Genomic DNA, 16959 nt, shown 5'->3' with positions numbered 1-16959 from the left:
CATCGAGCCAGATTCAGGCAGAGTGGAACTGGCCCCTCAGCCATCAGTGGAGGTGGCCTGGGAGGCTCTACCCTGAACGGGGTCTCCCCAAAGTGATGCAGAAACTGGGACATGCTCTGCTGAGCATGGGGCTGACTGGAGTGAGGCTTATAGGCAGTGCCCACATGGGGATTAAGATGTCAGCTCTTTAATCCCCACACTGTTCCCATCACAGGCTGACCAGAGTCTGCCCCAGGACCCAGCCAGGGACACAGAGGTCGGGGGAGAGAGGGAGAAGAGAGGGAGAGACAGAGAGACTCAGAGGTCCTGAGAAAGACAGGCAGAGAGAGATGATGGAGAAAAACACGTGAAGACACTGAGAAGAGATGGAGAGGAAAAGGAAGAGACAGATACGCAGGGATGGCAAAGAGATCCTGGAAAACAGAGACCGGGAGGAGAAAGAGAGCCACTGAGAAAAGGGAAAGACAGTGATGTCCAGAGAGAGGAAAGACAAAGAGACCCTAAAGCAAAGATAAATAAAGAGAACAGAAATGAAGAGAGATAGAGAGACCTGAGAGAAAAAGAAAAAGGGAGGAAAAGAAAGAGAGAAACAGAGAAATCCAGTCTAATTACAAAGAGATAGAAACACCAAGGCGGGAGGATCACTTGAGCCCAGGAGTTCGAGACCAGCCTGGGCAACATAGTGAGACCTGGTCTCTATAAATATTTTTAAAATTAGCTAGGCATGGTGGCACGCACCTCTAGTCCCAGCTACTTGGGAGGCTCAGGTGGGAGGATCACTTGAGCCCAGGCAGTCATGGCTGCAGTGAGCTGTGATGGTGCCACTGCACTCCAGCCTGGGCGACAGAACAAGACAGACAGAAGGGAAGGGAAGAGAAGAAGAAAGGGAAAAGAGGGGAGGGGAGGGAAGAAAGAGGCTGGGCATGGTGGCTTATGCCTGTGATCCTAGCACTTTAGGAGGCTGAGGCAGGAGGACTGCTTGAGACCAAGAGTTGAAGACCAACCTGGCCAACCTAACAAGACCCTGTCTCTATAAAAAAAAAAAAAAAAACAAAGAGAAGTAGCGAGGAAGAAAAATTGGGCATTCATTCAACAAACATTTACTAAGTGCCTACTGCTGTGCTGGGCACTACTTTAAGTGCTGGGATACAGAAGCGAACAAGACAAAATCCCTGCTCTAGAAGAGCTGACATTCCAGAGGACAGCCCACCCGAGCAAAACGGAGGAAGAGTCAGGAGCTGGGGAGAAACCAGAAGCCATAATAAACAGGATCCATTAAAGCCTGTCACAGAGGGTGGGGTAGGGCTGGGGGAGGATGCAGCTTACTGTGCCCCACCACACTCCCGCTGTCAGTGGAGTCAGCAGCTCTGAGCAGGGGTCCTGCCCCACAACCCCTGTCAGTCACCAGGTTCCAGAAAGGCTGACAGGTAGGAAGACCCAGGATAGGGGAGGACAGAATATGGAGGTACAAGGGGGTAAACATGCGGAAAGGCACGCTGAAGAAATAAGGAGAGGCACAGAAGTGCCAGGCTGAGACAAAGGGAAGCACAGACTAGGGGAGATACAGGGAGGGGAAGACACAGACATACTGAAAAGAGAGACAGAAAACAGACACAAACAGAGGCAGAGACTGAGAGAAAAGAGAGAGAGATGGGAAGAGACAGAAAGAGGAGAGAGAGAGATGAACACAGAAACACAGAGACTGAGAGTGAGGGAGGCTGGGCGCGCTGGTTCACAACTATACTCCCAGCAGTTTGGGAGACCAAGGCAGAAAGATTGCTTGAGCCCAGGAGTTGGAGACCAGCCTGGGCAACACAGTGACATCCTGTCTCCTTAAAAAATACAAAAATTGGCCGGACGTGGTGGTGTGTACCTATGGTCCCAGCTACTTGGGAGGCCAAGGTGGGAGGCTTGTTTGATCCCAGGAGGTTGAGGCTGCAGTGAGCCATGATCGTACCACTGCACTCCAGCCTGGGGGACAGAAGCCAGGCTCTGTCTCAAAAAAAAAAAAGAAAAAAGGAAGGGAGGGAGGGAGGGAGGGAGGGAGGGAGGGAGGGAGGGAGGGACGGACAGAGGGAGGGAGGGAGGGAGCAAGCAAGACTGAGAGATGAAACAAAGATACACAGAGACCCTCCCAGAGACAATGCCAGTCCTAGGCTCTGCACAGTCCACCCCCCGCCCACCATCTCCCCAGGTCTGGGCCCTGTGCCAGGCACTTGGAGGAAGGCTGGATTTGGCCAAGCAGGGACAGGCAGGAGGGTGGACCACATTCCTGAACAGTCTGTTCCAAATACAGCCCCAACCTCACTGCTCCCACCACCGCAGCCCTGGCCCATCCAGGCCAGAGTCTGCCCCCTCTAGCCCATGCCCTAGGATGGGGGTTGGGGGGGATAGATGAGAGAATGAGGGATAAGTTTGTCTGTCGTCATGGCCTGGCCTCAGACAGGGACTTGGGGGACTGGATACCAGGGGGTTCAGCAGCATGGGCACAGAACATTTGGGGGCATCTGGGAGCCAGTGCCTTGGGGATAGAGATGGTAGATTCAGGGCAGGACATAATATGGAGGTACAAGGGGATCAACATGCAGAAAGGCACCCTGAAGAACTAAGGAGAGGCACAGAAGTGCCAGACTGATGGACACCCAGAAGCCAGGGAAATTGAAGGCAGATCTGGGGAACAAGCATAGTACACAGGGTCCTAAGAGTAATGGAAGTGACAAGGGCTCAGGTGTGAGCTCCTAGGAATCACAGGCACAGAGCACAGGAATGCCAGGGGTGTCTTTAGAAGTGTATTTGAGCCAGGCGCAGTGGCCTGTAGTCTCAACACCTCGGGAGGCCGAGGCAGGCGGATCACCTGAGGTCAGTAGCTTGAGATCTGCCTGGCCAACACGGTGAAACTCCGTCTCTACTAAAAATACAAAAATTAGCCAGGCCTAGTGGTGCATGCCTGTAATCCCAGCTACTCAGGAGGCTGAAACAGGAGAATCTTGAACCTGGGAGGTGGAGGTTGCAGTGAGCCGAGATCCCACTGCTGCACTCCAGCCTGGGCAACAAGAGTGAAACTCTAAGAAGGGAAAAAAAAAAAACAGAAGTGGTGTATTTGAGAGTCGGTGTGTATTTAGGAATCAGAGGTACAGGGTACAGCGTTCAGGGGACCCAGAGGTGGCCCGGAGATTGAGGAATACACACTTACAGGCCAAGTAAATTGGACTCAAAGGTGCTAGGGGCTCAGGAGGGTGCACCTGTTGTCCAGGTGTGTTGCCATGAAAATGCTGGTGCACGAAAGTTGCTAAGTAAGACAGGCTGAGGCAGACACACAAAAAAAGCCAGGGGGAGCCAGGGCACAGCTCCACTAGGGCTGGGGGCGGGGTGGAGACGTCGGGTTGGGGAATCCACGGAATGAGCAGCCCGGAGACGCCCACTCCTCCCACATCGGGTCTCCGCCCCGCTCCACCCCTAAGACCCCTTGGAAATCAAATAGAGGTGAAGGGGTGCAGGCGTGGAGAATTGCAGGCATGTCGCGGGTATCGCTGCGCTGCTGTTGTGGCTTCTGGTGCTGGCGCCGGCGTGGTGGGGGTAGGGTGGGTGCCGCGCTCAGATGCGGGGGTCCCTACCTCCCCGGCCCAGGCCGCTCCCATTGCTGGGGAACTTGCAGCTGCAGTCCGGAGGCCTGGACCGCGCACTCCATTCCCGACAGGAATGGGGGAACGGAATTCTGGATTCGTGAAGGTGGGGCTGGGGACTAGAACTCCTCCTGAATGAAGACAGCTGAGGGTTTGTACTCTATGATCCTGAGGAAGGACAGGAAGGATGAGTGCTCCGGACTGCTGAGTACTAGGAAAGGAGAATAGGGAGTGGAGAGCCTGGGGCCGGGACACTGGGTCGTAACGAAGGAGCCCAGAGCAGGAAATCAGGTTGTGGGAAGAGGGGAGCAGGGGGTCTGTTCTGGTTCAGGGTGGGCAGGCTGAGTACTGAGGGCCCAGGAGACGACTCTGAGGGTGCAGGAGGCTGGGAAGCTGGACTTCCAGGTCCTAAGGGAAGAAGGAAGTGGGGGCCTGGACTCCTGGATCTCAGGGAGGAAGGAGCTGGGGATTTGAATTCCTGGGCCTGAGGAATGAGGGTCTGAGACGAGGACTCCTGGGTCTGAAGGAAGAGGGAGCTGGGGGCAATGGCTCCGATGAGGAACCCTATGGGCACCCGCTGAGCACCGGCTACCCGTAGCTCTCCGGCCGCTGGGGCCGGGTGTTCACAGTGCGGCTGGGCCCGCGCCCTGCGGTGGGGCTGTGCGGCTACGCAGCGCTGCGGGACGCGTTAGTGCTACAGGCGGATGCGGTCTCTGGCCGCGGGTCCATGGCAGTCTTCGAACGCTTCACACGCGGAAACAGTGAGGCCCCGGCGCTGGACTTGCCGGCCCGGACGCTCCAGGCTGGGCGGGTAAATGGTAGAGGCGGGCAAATGGGGGCGGGGCCTAATAGAGACTCCAGCTAATGAGGTGCAAACGGCCGAGAGAGGGCGGGGCGGCGCTAAAGCGTAAGGTTAGAATGGAGGTTCATCCTGCAGCCAACAGGAGAAAAGAGCCTAAGAGTCAAAGCCCGAGAGCCAGCCTAGGTCAGGGATGGAGCCCAGCAAAGGCGGGGCCAATGTGTGGATAGGGCACTTGGAGGTCTGGTAAAGAAGCAAAGGGAACGAAGCCGGCCGCAGGAGTCGGAGGCCCCTAAAGGGATGTAGCCAGTGACCCGGCGCTTCCTGGATAGGGCGTGGCCGGCTCCCCGGCCCGCCTCCTTTCCCGTCCCCACCACAGGAATCTTGTTTTCTAACCGGCCGTGCTGGTGGACACTGCGCAATTTTGCACTTGGAGCGCTTAAGAAGTTCGGGTTGGGTACGCGGACCGTCGAGGCGCGCGTCCTGGAGGAGGCGGCTTGTCTGCTAGACGAATTTCAAGCCACCATTGCTTCGGCCTGGCCGGGAGAGCGGAAGGGCCTGGTGTGGGAGAGTCCCTTGCACTGCCAAGACGGGGCCACTGGAAGGTATTTGGGTGGAAGAAAGCCAGTAAGCCCATGGGGCTGGCTGGGGGCAGGACCACGCGTTATGACCACCGTCCTGTTCCTACCCCCAGGAGCCCCGTTTGACCCCGTGCGGCTACTGGATAATGCTGTATCCAATGTTATCTGTTCTTGTCTTCGGGAACCGCTATCGCTATGGGGACCCGGAGTTCCTGAGGCTCCTGAACCTCTTCAGTGACAACTTCTGCATCATTAGTTCCAGATGGGGCGAGGTGAGAGGGCCGGCCACAATCTTTCCTTGGTGCGTCCAGCCTTATGCCAAATCCCGAGTACACAGACCTACCTACAATGGATCATTAGAATGGGACAGATTCCTGGAAGAGTTCTAGAACATCCAGTATCAAAGTCCTAGTCCAATCTCCCTGTAGGGAAACTAAGGCCTAGTGGCCTTGTGCAGGGCCCATGTTGAGACAGACCCTGTCTCTCCAGATGTACATTTGCCTGTCCCTCATGGACTGGCTCCCGGGCCCGCACCACCGAATCTTCCGAAACTTTTCGGAGCTGCGGGTCATCTCTGAGCAAATTCAACGACACTGGCAGATGCGGCAGCCAGCGGAGCCCCGCGATTTCATTGATTGCTTGACCAGATGGGTAAGGCATGGGTCCCAGCTCTCTAAACTCTATCCATGCCGCCCACCAACAGGTGCCTGGCACGCGGCAGCACATCTCCTCTGCCCACAGTAACAGCAGGACCCGGAGAGCCATTTCCAGGAGTAGACGTCGGTAATGACGACGCATTTTTTTTTTGGCGTCACCGAAACCACGAGCACCACCCTGTGCTATGGGCTCCTCATTCTGCTTAAGTACCTAGAGGTGGCAGGTGTGCAACCCGGAGAGACCCAGAATGGGAGGCTGCAGTCTGGGGATGGCTGGAGGGTCCTGGAAGTGCGCAGCTCACAGCCTCCCCCGGCCTGAGCCAAGGTGCAGGAGCTGGACCCTGTGGTAGGGTGGAGGCCCGCCCCAAGCCTGGACTATCGCGTGTGCCTGCCCTACGCCAACGCAGTGCTGCTCGAGATCCAGTGCTTCATCAGCGTGGTGCCCCTGGGGCTGCCGCGCACCCTCACCCTCGACACCCACCTGCACAGCCACTGTCTGCCCAAAGGTACCCACTGAGTCTGGGGATCCCGTGCGGGACCCGGGTGCATGAGATCAGCCAGAATCAGCAGGTGTGCGCTGTGCAGACCAAAACACAATCAGTTACCCCTGGAGCAGGAAGGCAGCTCTGCCTTCCCTTAGGCTTTTTGTTGTTGTTGTTTGAGACGGAGTCTGGCTCTGTCATTCAGGCTAGAATGCAGTGGCATGATCTTGGCTCACTGCAACCTCCACTTCCTGGGTTCAAGCGATTGTCCTGCCTCAGCCTCCTGAGTACCTGGTATTACAGGCACCCACCACCACGCCTGGCTAATTTTTGTATTTTTAGTAGAGACAGGTTTCGCCATGTTGGCCAGGCTGGTCTCGAACTTCTGACCTCAAGTGATCTGTCCTCAGCCTCCCAGAGTGCTGGGATTACAGGCGTGAGCTACTTGCCCGGCCTATTCCCTTGGGCTTTTAAAAAGCGTCTTGGATGGAGGTGGTGCAGGTGCTCACCAAGCCCGCAGGTAACCCAAGTTGCATGTATCCCCAGGGCACTTTTGTGATTCCCCTGCTTGTGACTGCACACCGGGACCCCACTCAATTCAAAGACCCAGACTGCTTCAACCCTACCAACTTCCTGGACAAGGGCAAGTTCCAGGGCAATGATGCTTTCATGCCCTTTGCCTCAGGTGCAGGCAGAGGAGGAAGGGGACCAGCCTGGACTGGCTCTGGGGTACCTGGTGCTCACTGTGCACCTGTGTACCCGGCAAAGCAGATGTGCCTGGGCACAGGCCTGGCCCACTCGGGTATCTTCCTATTCCTTACGGCCACCTTACAGAGGTTCTGCCTGCTCCCTGTGGTACGCCCTGGCACCATCAACCTCACCTGCAGTGCACTGGCCTGGGCAGTGTCCCCCCAGACTTCCAGCTCCAGCCAGTGGCCTGCTGAGGTCAGGCTCCACTATGGTGGGCTCACTGGCCCTCAAACCTCCATACCCTCCTCGGTCAATAAAGGCCCTAAATTGCAGATGGAGTCAGATGTGTGCAGCTCTGAGGTAAACTTTTATTTCTTGGCTGACAGGACTTCCACACCCATGCTCCTCCTGGCACCTTTTACTCTGCCCAAGCAGTGGCAGCCCAGTCCAAAAGGTGCCTGCCATGGCCAAAGGGGTTGGGGAGTCACTTCACATTCCAGGCTGGAGGAGTGAGAGGACTTGGGGGTACTCCTCCCACCCCATTGCCAGCAAGAGGCCATGACTCACCTCAACCCCAAGTCCTGCATCCTGGTGGGAAGTGACAATGCCTCCTCCCAGCTCTCCATACCTAATGGGGTCATGACCAGACAGGGTAGGACCCAGGCCCCCAGCTTCAGTTGGTAACGGTGGCCTCCACGGCTGCCCCCTGTCCAGGTGACAACCCCAGCCCCCATGATGGGGCAGCAAAGGTCTCTTCTCCTCCTTGGTCCTCAGCAACAGACAGAGCCCTCCACACCAGGCAGGACAGAGGCAAAGTCAGAAGCAGCAGCGGTGGCAGGGAAGGAGCAGCCAGCACAGGCCCAGGGCTCTCCTGAAGTCATTTAAGCTGTCTGCCATGCGGCTCTGGGACTGGCCACTAGGTGGGCGTAGGCGGCTGTGATACAGGTACTTGGACACCTTTCTGTCCTGATGCTGGGGGTGAGAGGGGACAGGAGACAGTGAGTCATCAGAAGGACAAAGAAGCCAAGGGAAACCTGGGGAGATGGGGAGAGGACCAGGAAGAAATGGGGCTCCTGTTGGGGTACCAGGAGAGTGGGCTAAGGAAGGTGGGCAGAGATGAAGAAAAATGAGTGGTGGGATTTAACAAGAGGCTGATGAGGGGGATGGGGTGGCATCAGGCCCAAGAGGGCCCACAGAATAGGAAGGACTGAAGGGAGGGAAGCAGGTACCTAGCTGATACTTGTCTTTGGCTGCTGCCCGCTCCTTGGCATCAAAATACCAGACAGTGATGGCGTACCTGGAGACCAGGGTGGTTGGACATTAGTTTTCTGCAATTCCAGCTACCATATCCACACACACTAGGCGGCCATCCTTTTGAGCCACCCGGTTCTGCTCCCACCTAGGCCCCCTCTCAATACTTCGTCGCTCCCTAGTCACTCTGAGGCTCTGACAGGACATTGTCACAGGGGGAGCACCTGGGTGCGTCTCCAGAAGTACAGGTCATACCTGGTGGCATAGGCTGGCTTCACCTCGTGGGGGTTCCGCCGGTCAGACCAGAAAATGAGCAACCGGTCAAAGAGTGGCTCGATGTTGGCTACCACGGGCCGGCCCTCAGGGAAGATCTGCAGCAGGCCGCCATGCACCTGGGGGCAGGCCAAAGGATGAGGCTAGCTGGTACGGCCAGGAGCCGCTGCCTCCCACGGTGCCCCGGGAGCCCACTAGGAGGCGCAGCGTCTGCCTGCATCACTCCCTCCCACCCCTCGGGCTCTCAAAGTGAATGACAACCCAGAGACTGCATCACCATGGAGATGGGCAGGAAGCTACTAAAGACAGGAAAAGGGGGAAAGTGTTCATTACAAGGCCGGGTGGGGCTGGGCAGACAGCACCATTCCCGGAAAGAGGGGAGTTCCCACCACACAGTCCGCTAGAGAGGAGGAGGTGCCATTTCCCAGGAAGAGCCGGCAGATCGCACTGCCCGCTGTGTGTTGAGAAGAGAAACAGGAGAATGCCAGAATCTGGGCTGAGAGTGGAAAATGGAGTGGACGCACGCCACCCCCGCCCCAGCCCTAGCCCCAGCGCCACCCTCACCCTCACCCTCACCCCTACCTTAACGTCCCAGTTCTGATTCAGGTAATAGATACAGGTGATGCAGCGCCCATCGCCGTGGGGATTGTCAACGTGCCTTACGTACCCGAGCCCGTTGCCTGGGTAACACGCCACCATGGCCTGGCAGGGATGGAGGGAGGTAGGTTTACTGGGGCTAGGCAGGCACATCTTAGAGAAGCAGCCATGAATTACCTATTTTCCCACCCCTCCTTGCCCCATCTTCCCCATGACTCCTTGGGTCAAGGGTTCCAAGCTCCTGCCCCAAAAGACTTTCTTTTTCAGCCAAAATCCCATCCCCAAGTCTATCAGAAACCTCAGCTCCTGGGCCTCAAGAGCCCACTCCCTCCCAACACACATACCTGGGGCCTGGCACCCAGCTAGGGCTCAATTAGTAACAGAGTTTGATTTGTTTCAAGATACCCCAAACCCCACCTCAGCCATTTCAGTAGAATAATACCAATTTAAACATTTTCAGGTGTGCAAGGAGGTGGCCTCACAGCCCTAGACCAGGAATTCTTACCCTTGGCTGTGGAGTGGAGCCCCCTGGGGAGCTCTGAGGTTCTGAAGTACCTGGCCTAAGGAAGGGCCTGAAATTGGTAAAGCTTCCCAGGTAATTCTACCATGCAGCAATGTTAAGAACTGCTGCCCTGGACTACAAAGAATCCCCACTAAATTATCTGTCCCATAGACCTCCGAACAGGAGCCAAAAGCTACAGTCTGAATAGAAAGACCTAATTCCAACTCCAAGGATAATTTGCTGGGTAACCCTAGCCAGTTCCAACACCTGAATGGGCCTCAACTGCCTGATGTGTACAGCAGGGGTAATAAACACTGCTGTTTACAGCGGTAGCAATTAATCTCTCTGAGAACATAACTTGGGAGGTTCTGGAGCCCCAACTCCTGGAGATCTAACAGGACTCATTGCAGGGCTTGGTTTCTCTGTCTACAGGGTTCTTTCCTCTGCCTGACAGTTGCCACTCCCCTGACCCAGCCCTACAATGCTGTGGCCAGGGCCCCGGGATGTTTGTCATCAGGGAGCTGGCAGAAAGGTGGCTGAGAGGTAAAGGAAATGGCCCAGCCACTTCTGCAGACACAATTCCCTGGTTCAAGTCTCAGTGCTGCCACATGAGCTGTGGCATCAGGCAGGTGACTTCCTGGTCTCAGGTTCCTCATCCATGGATCCAATGGAGCTCACAGCTATTTCACAGGTTGTTGTGGAACAAGTGAACAAGATAACAAGTGTCTGGGAAGACAGCCAGCACAGTGCCTGCCACATGGAGAACTGGAGCACAGGCTGAAATGCCATTTAAAAATTTTAAAAGGTCCCTGTCCCACCCTCTGCCCAAAGTCACTGCAGTGGCAAGATGAGGTAGCACACAAAAAGGGGAGGACTGGCACAAGGACCCTTCAACTTCTCCCCAGCCCGGACCATCTGTCTTGACCTCTCTGCCCTGACCTCTCTGCCCTGGTACAACTCTGCTGGCGTCCATTCCCCACGAATGCTCAGCTACACCTATGGGCCCGGCCCAGCAAGACAGTCCCAAGATAAACATTCACGATCAAACATCAGTGGCCACTGCCACAACAGGATGCTTGCCAAGCACGCACGCCACAGCAGACTGGGCTGCTTCAATCCTCACCCTCCCCAGGACGCCTCCCAACACATTATCCCAGGGCTCACCCTCTGTGGTGGATGTTAAGCTGCTCTGCATTAACCATGTGCACCTCATCCACCAGACCTTGCCCTGGAAAGAGAGGGCTGCCACCATCTACTGCCACCTAGCAGTGGGAAGCTGACAACCTTCTCTCTGGCAGCACCAGAGTACAATTAGTGAGAAGGCCCCCCAGGGAAAACCCTAATGGCTACACTTCAAGGTTCAGGAGGGGGCACCTTCTTTGCACTGCTCACTCCCTATGGAAGGGTCGGCACTCTGAGCAACCACCTCACTGGGAGAAGAATTGGGCCATGGTCCAGGAGGCTTAGAAACAGTGAGTTACTGACTAGAGATGGGCAAGACCTCCCCAATTAGGAATCCAATCAGAGATTACACTGATGATGCACGTGGATGGGTGGCAGGGAAGGGGTCCAGTGCTGCACCCTCTTCCCACAATTCATCCCCACACAGCAGCCAGAGCCCCTCCTCTCCAGGTCTTCACTCCATCCTGAGAAAATACAAATTCCCAACCACAGCCTCAAAGGCCCCCAACCTCATGTGCCTCTCCCATCACTCTGCTCCATGCCTCAACAGGCTGAGCTCATCGCCACCACAAGGCCTCAGCACTGGCCTGGGACACTCTTCCTTCTGACCCTCTTTGTTATTCAGGATTCAGAGACCAAGGGTCACCTTGAGTACTCCGGCTGATTGTCCGTTCCACTCCTAGCAACATGGCATCAGCACAGGCACCTGTTTACCTAGTACTGCCCTGGAAGGCAGCCACAGGGAAGCCCCTGGGGCCAGGTTGGTCTCCCCAGTGCCCAGTGCAGTACCTGCAGACTGGAGTGCACTGCTCTGGGCCTCCTCTGCACCCCAGCCCTGCTATGTTTCCTCCTGCCCTGTACATTCTCACACAGCGCCTCCCACCAAGCACATGGGACTCACACAGAAACAGGAACCTGCTCTTTAGGGCCCCACCCTTCCCCCACATATACACACCTTGGGGGTGAAAGCATCCTCTGGCCCCAAGGAAAGTATCTACTTCCTGCCCTCACAGGGGAAGGCCTCAGGAAACTTGCTCTCCACCCCTCCCACCTAGGGGAGGGACAGGTGGGACCAGGGCCAGGAGACCAAAGACTTAAAGGCTATTGGTGACAATCTGCCTGCCAAGAGCCCCACCCCCACTACACACACACCCCAGTCAGAAGCCTGTGACTGTCCCACCTCCAAGCTGCTCTTCAAGGAGCAAACCAAGCAAGCTGGACTCTCCCTGGGGTCCCCTCTGGTAGCCCTTGCTGCCAGTGGGAGTCAACTCTCTCCCACCTACAGGTCAACGGAGCACCTGTCCCCAACCAGGGAGTTGGGGGAAGGAAGGATGACACAGGAGCTCCACTCAGAACGACTAAGAAGCACGTTTCTACTGGCTCTAGCCACACTGGTGATCCATGTCCCCACGGCAACTGCTGCAGCCCACCTGAGCACCCCACAGCCTTACTCTGGAGTACAGGAGAGAGTCCAGATGGGGCCCATCTAAAAGCGGGAAAGCCTGGAGTTGCTGTCTCACTGGGGAGGGGAGGGCTCCTCCCCTATGTTCTCAGTCCAGCCTGGCCTGTCCTTACTTCCCTAGGACAATCAAGGTCACCTAGGGCTAAAAAAGTCCAAACACGCCCCTTCCCCAATCCTCGCTGGGGCCCTGTCCCCAACCACATAGAAAGTGGGCACCAGAGGCACCAAAACACAAGAGATCTTCTCCTACTCTCCCCTCCCCAAACTGCCAGACTCACTGGGGATGTAACCTGGTTTTCGTATTCCGTGGATCAGCAAATTGAGGCTCAGAGCAGTGTCCCATCTGGGCCACTCAGCCCTTCTGGTCTCCCCCTGACGAGGACGACAGCCAACCTGGGGTGAAGATGCTGAGCCAGGGAGGCCACTGATCCCGCCCGCACAGGAGCCAAGCCCAGGGAGGGGCCGGCTCTGGCTCAGCTATCAAGTAACGGGAGGGAGAGGGAAGTAGAACAAGTTCCAGCTGGGGTGGGGAGGAAACAGGCCTTGGCCCCGGGGGAGCCCTGGTCCCTGAGCCAGCTCCAGCCTGAGAGGAAAGCCACACAGAAGCAGAACCCAAGATGGGATCTGCAGGAGGAGGCAGAGGACATCAGGAGCTCAGCCTCACGCCTGCAGGGCACAACACTGCCCGTGCCATCAGCCAGCCAGGCATCACTGTGTTGAGCAGTGGGCACTCCCCACAGGGCCTTGTCCAAAGGACACCAAGCCTTGGACTCAAGGCCAGGCCCCCACACCACCCATGAAGACAATGATCCTGTCAGCAGCCCGGAAAGGCCCTATGGACCACTGTCCTGTGCTGGGCTCCTGACCCCAGGTTCCTGAACAGGCAGCTGGAGGCCATGAGGCCTTGACAACTGCCCGGAAACTCCAAGCAAATGAGCATTTGTCTTAAGAGAGGATCTGTGGCCTCTGACAGATTCTCAAAAAGACCCAGGCTCCAAAATACCATTAAGAACTATTGTTCTAAAGCAAAAAGAAAAAGGGACTAAGAACAAACACATAAAGGCAGAGGAAGAGACAGACATGGGTAGGGAGGAAGTGACACACAGGACAGGGGGAATGGAGGGCAGGGACTGGGACAGTGAAGGGTGGGAGACATGGGGATGAGCTCCACCTGGGCCAACAGGCAGCCACCCAGTACCACCCCCAGGAGACTGTCCTCGATGCAGATGCCACAGTGGGGACCCAGGGCACAATGCAGTCCAGGGCCAAGCACTCGGCCCAGCGGGCAGCACCCCTTTCCTTCCCTCAGCCCAGGGCTCACTCATCACAGCCACCCTCCCCCTTCTGCTTCTCCTGCCTTGGAGACAGGATGGATGGACTAGAAACATGGGCCAGCAAACAGGGATGGACGACAGGAGCACAGGGAAGGATGTGGACAGGGACAGACAGCAACAGAGAACGGCCAGGTGAACTGTGTGCCTATCTACATCCCCGTGCTTGGTCTGGGGCCACAGACTGACACCAGGAGGCCATGAACCCCACCAAGGTCCACGCTGTGAATGTCAGCAGCTCTCATGAGTTTAAGAGGGTTCCTGGCAAAGTCAAGAACCACTGTGGCGATGCTTGAAGGCAGCATGCTCGTTAAGAGTCATCACCACTCCCTAATCTCAAGTACCCAGGGACACAAACACGCAGAAGGCCGCAGGGTCCTCTGCCTAGGAAAACCAGAGACCTCTGTTCACTTGTTTATCTGCTGACCTTCCCTCCACTATTGTCCTGTGACCCTGCCAAATCCCCCTCTGCGAGAAACACCCAAGAATGATCAATAAAAAAAGAAAAGAAAAAAAAAAAAAAAAAAAAAAGAACCACTGTGGCTCCAGGACAAACTCCTAGCTTATCAGGTGCACACATTAAGGCCCGTAGGGAGGATAAAGACCCCCCCAAGTCCCCACAAGTAAGCATACCCACTCCACTGAACTGCCTAAACCTTCTGTGACCTCCCAGAAGCCTGTCTCCAAACCCACTGTGCTCAGAGCACTGAATGCTGCAAACCAGGGTGCTGCAAAGCCCCTCCAAAGAGGCCCCCACCTAGCCTTACCTTGGTGCGCCCGTTGATGACATAGCTGCCCAGCCGCCCTGCGCAGTGGCGGATGACGGCGTCCACATGGGCCATGAGGGCACCAATGCTTCGACAGCCTGGTTCATGGCCTTCCACCCAGGCAATCTGGTCCCCACGGATGCTGCGCGGCGGGATCGCCCTCTGGCTCACTAGCTGCCCGTCTCGCAGGCGCCCACCCCGTTTGAGGGCCTCCACCTCGGCCAGCACGCGACCGCCCAGTGCTGCCCCCAGGAAGCTGTCCTTGACGCAGATGCCGTAGTACCGCATGCAGGGCACGATATAGTCCAGGGCCAGGCGCTCGGGCGCAGAGGGCAGCGCCTCCTCCATCAGCCCAGCACTGGCCTCACCACTGCCACTGCTGCAGCTGCAGCTCATGCCACCCTCCCGCTCTGCCTCCTGGTTCTCTTGCCTGGCCCAGGGCCGTTTGCTGGGTGAAGGGGCATCCCCACCATCCTCGGCCCATTTCCGTTTGGGGGCCTCAGGCCGTGCGCCCTGGGCTGCCAATCGCTGGCACCCCTTGGTGACCAGCGCTGCAGCGCCTTCACTCTGCAGCGGCCGCAGCTCACCACCATCCTGCCCGCCAAAACCGTCCCGAAGAGGGCTGGCAGTGGTAGAGGTGGCTGTGGCTCTGGGGGTCCCACTCCCTGCCGAGGCCTCACTAGGCACTCCTGGACAGTGGTAGGAGGGGAGCAGGGGACAGGGCAGGTAACTCTCCACTCCCATCCTGGCCCGGCCAGGCTCAGGCTCCAAGGGCTCTGACGAAGACCCTGGTAACTGAGGGAGAGCCTGACTTAGGGGCTGCGGCTGGCACGGGCTGTCCATGGCAGCAGTGTCTTCATCCCCCGGGCATGGAGGGCACCGCCCGGGCCCATGGTGCCACCCTCCTCCGCCTCCTCCTCCGCCTCCACTTGATGCAGCTGGGGGCCACCGGGCCTGGCGTGGGGCAGGGTGAGGCAGGGCAGACAGCAAGAGCTCTTCTCGTGCCCTGGGGGTTGCTTGCTGGTCCCCAAGTCCTCTGCGGTCCCTAAGGGCTTGGGAAGGGACCCTTCAGGGTGGCTAGAGAAAGGAAAAAAAAAAAGGGATGTGAGAGAAACTAGAGACAGGCAGGCAGGGGAAAGCCGGGATGGTATGGGCAGGAGTGGGGAAGACGACCAGGACAGACTTGACTATAGAGGCCCCCCAAAACCTGAGGCCAAGTCGGGGAGAGGACCCTGAGAATCTGGAGGTGCGGGAGTCCGCTGACAGATAAGAGGCAGTGATAGGGAGAGGCTGGAGGCCAGGGGCTGGGTAGATGACCCTAAGACAGAGGACTGTGGTGCAGGTTGTGGGACGCGGTAACCAAAGACAGAAGAAGGAGGGCTGGAGTAGAAAAGGGTGGTGTGGAGGAGTGGGAAAGGAGGGGGTTTGGAAAATAGGAGGGACCTGCCTCGGCGTTCCAGAAAGACAACGAGAAACGTGGGGGTTCCAGGGAGAGTCAGGGTGGGGGCGGGGGGGTCAAAAGACAGAGGAAACTGGGGAGTCCAAAAACAAAGAGAACGAGGGGCCCAGAGACAGAAAAATAGACCGGAGGGAAGCTGGGAGGGAGGACCCGGGGCGGAGCGGGACGGTGGGGTCGACCCGAGCCCGACGGGAGGAAGCCGGCCGGGGGCGGACACACGCCCAGACGGAAGGGAGGTCCCGAGACTGACCGACGGGAGGGGCCCTCGGGGAGAGGGTCCGCGGCGACAGAGGAAAGGACGGAGGAGGGTGCACGCACCCGGAGACAGGACGAGAGATAAAGGTGCCCCCATCCAGGGCACCCCAACGCCCCCAACCCGGGGCAGGCCCTGAGGCCCCTTCTGAGCGCAGTAGGCGACAGGGGCAGGGCCTAAGGGCCGCTCGGACCCCCTCCCCTCCCCCTCCACTCGGCCTCCGCCCGGCGCGCGCTCCCCGCCCCCACCCCAACCCCCACAACGGCCGGCACCCAACGTAACCGGCGCGCGTCCCCTCCCCCGCGCCGCACCCACATCCCCCTTCCCGGGGTCGCCCCGGCAGGCCCCGGCGCGCGCCCCCACACCCCGCCCGGTTCGCGCCGGCGCCCCGGCTCCGGCTTAGTCTCCTCCCGCTCCCTTCTCGCCCCGCGACCTCCTCACCGAGCTTTTTCCTCCGGCCCCGGCGCCGCCGTTTGTGCCAGCCGCCCTGCGCCGCACAGCGCGCCATACCCCGCCCCCACCGCGCGCGACGCCCCGCCCCGCCTCGCCCGGTGGGCACGTGACCGCGCCCCGCGGAGGGGACGGCGCCTGCGCAGGCCCGAGCCGCGCGGGGCGGGGCGGAGCGGGGCGAGGAAGTTCGGGACAACCCCCCTACCAAGGAGAAAGGAAACAGCGGTCCGTGGCCTACACGAGGTTCATTTGCATCCTCCGCCCCGCCCCCTTTGCGCGGGAGGGGGAACGCAGTGTGAGGGGCCGGGTCTGGGAGGGGGCGTTTCTTGCATGTTGGAATCAAGTGGCGTCGGCGGGGCGGGGCACGCAAATGATGTGATTTACATGGACAGGCCTACCCGCCCCCCGCCCAGCGCGGGGCACCGAGTTCGGCAGCGCGGTGCGCGTGACTTCATTTACATGGTCAGCTCCTCCTCCTTCTCGCCGTCCAGGAACGGAGGTGAGAGACGGAGAAATGGCTACGCAGTTAGTTGAGAAATGTATGTAAATTCGCACGTCAGTAATTTACATAAGTATCTTTTATAACGGAGGCAAAAAAGTG

General features: G+C 58.0%; 1 protein-coding gene, 1 long non-coding RNA gene and 1 pseudogene across 4 annotated transcripts in view, besides 7 other annotated features; 1 reads left to right on the top strand and 2 right to left on the bottom strand.

Annotated features, from left to right (window-relative positions):
- Positions 3002 to 3892: an enhancer, noted in NCBI's record as "H3K27ac-H3K4me1 hESC enhancer chr19:41317625-41318515 (GRCh37/hg19 assembly coordinates)". NCBI's record gives its function as "activates a minimal SCP1, AML or CMV promoter by ChIP-STARR-seq in primed H9 embryonic stem cells {active_cell/tissue: H9 hESC(primed)}" and the evidence as "EXISTENCE:reporter gene assay evidence [ECO:0000049][PMID:30033119]".
- On the top strand, positions 4512 to 7169 carry CYP2T1P (cytochrome P450 family 2 subfamily T member 1, pseudogene; annotated as a pseudogene). Its single transcript, NR_144551.1, has 2 exons — positions 4512 to 5027; positions 5117 to 7169. The product of NR_144551.1 is annotated as a cytochrome P450 family 2 subfamily T member 1, pseudogene (transcript).
- Positions 6763 to 7262: an enhancer, noted in NCBI's record as "H3K4me1 hESC enhancer chr19:41314255-41314754 (GRCh37/hg19 assembly coordinates)". NCBI's record gives its function as "activates a minimal SCP1, AML or CMV promoter by ChIP-STARR-seq in naive H9 embryonic stem cells {active_cell/tissue: H9 hESC(naive)}" and the evidence as "EXISTENCE:reporter gene assay evidence [ECO:0000049][PMID:30033119]".
- RAB4B-EGLN2 (RAB4B-EGLN2 readthrough (NMD candidate)) overlaps positions 7171 to 16959 on the bottom strand; it is a 30223-nt gene continuing 20434 nt past the window's right edge. Inside the window, exons 8-12 of the long non-coding RNA NR_037791.1 lie at positions 14197 to 15273; positions 8938 to 9057; positions 8338 to 8474; positions 8061 to 8128; positions 7171 to 7803 (exon numbers count right to left, since the gene is read on the bottom strand). This is a non-coding gene — a long non-coding RNA (RAB4B-EGLN2 readthrough (NMD candidate)). The remainder of the gene's footprint in view (positions 7804 to 8060; positions 8129 to 8337; positions 8475 to 8937; positions 9058 to 14196; positions 15274 to 16959) is intronic.
- Positions 7178 to 16421, bottom strand: EGLN2 (egl-9 family hypoxia inducible factor 2). Of its 2 annotated transcripts, none has more exons than NM_080732.4 (6): positions 16350 to 16421; positions 14197 to 15273; positions 8938 to 9057; positions 8338 to 8474; positions 8061 to 8128; positions 7178 to 7803 (listed from the first exon to the last, which is right to left on the bottom strand). In NM_080732.4, exons 2-6 carry the CDS (start codon positions 15037 to 15039, stop codon positions 7748 to 7750), a joined length of 1224 nt encoding a protein of 407 aa, NP_542770.2. In that variant the 5' UTR covers positions 15040 to 15273; positions 16350 to 16421; the 3' UTR covers positions 7178 to 7747. The 2 variants fall into 2 exon arrangements, with proteins under 2 accessions (NP_542770.2, NP_444274.1); NM_053046.4 differs by lacking the exon at positions 16350 to 16421 and adding an exon at positions 15974 to 16090.
- Positions 11230 to 11409: an enhancer, noted in NCBI's record as "active region_14668". NCBI's record gives its function as "activates an Ori minimal core promoter by ATAC-STARR-seq in GM12878 lymphoblastoid cells {active_cell/tissue: GM12878}" and the evidence as "EXISTENCE:reporter gene assay evidence [ECO:0000049][PMID:35858748]".
- Positions 13067 to 13807: an enhancer, noted in NCBI's record as "H3K4me1 hESC enhancer chr19:41307710-41308450 (GRCh37/hg19 assembly coordinates)". NCBI's record gives its function as "activates a minimal SCP1, AML or CMV promoter by ChIP-STARR-seq in primed H9 embryonic stem cells {active_cell/tissue: H9 hESC(primed)}" and the evidence as "EXISTENCE:reporter gene assay evidence [ECO:0000049][PMID:30033119]".
- Positions 13986 to 14660: an enhancer, noted in NCBI's record as "H3K27ac-H3K4me1 hESC enhancer chr19:41306857-41307531 (GRCh37/hg19 assembly coordinates)". NCBI's record gives its function as "activates a minimal SCP1, AML or CMV promoter by ChIP-STARR-seq in primed H9 embryonic stem cells {active_cell/tissue: H9 hESC(primed)}" and the evidence as "EXISTENCE:reporter gene assay evidence [ECO:0000049][PMID:30033119]".
- Positions 16084 to 16133: a silencer, noted in NCBI's record as "silent region_10650". NCBI's record gives its function as "represses an Ori minimal core promoter by ATAC-STARR-seq in GM12878 lymphoblastoid cells {active_cell/tissue: GM12878}" and the evidence as "EXISTENCE:reporter gene assay evidence [ECO:0000049][PMID:35858748]".
- Positions 16284 to 16643: a silencer, noted in NCBI's record as "silent region_10649". NCBI's record gives its function as "represses an Ori minimal core promoter by ATAC-STARR-seq in GM12878 lymphoblastoid cells {active_cell/tissue: GM12878}" and the evidence as "EXISTENCE:reporter gene assay evidence [ECO:0000049][PMID:35858748]".

Source organism: Homo sapiens, chromosome 19 (genome assembly GCF_000001405.40).
Source record: "Homo sapiens chromosome 19, GRCh38.p14 Primary Assembly".
Lineage (NCBI taxonomy): Eukaryota > Metazoa > Chordata > Mammalia > Primates > Hominidae > Homo > Homo sapiens.
The sequence above is the reverse complement of the archived record's forward strand: the minus strand, read 5'-3'. Positions and strand labels throughout refer to the sequence as shown.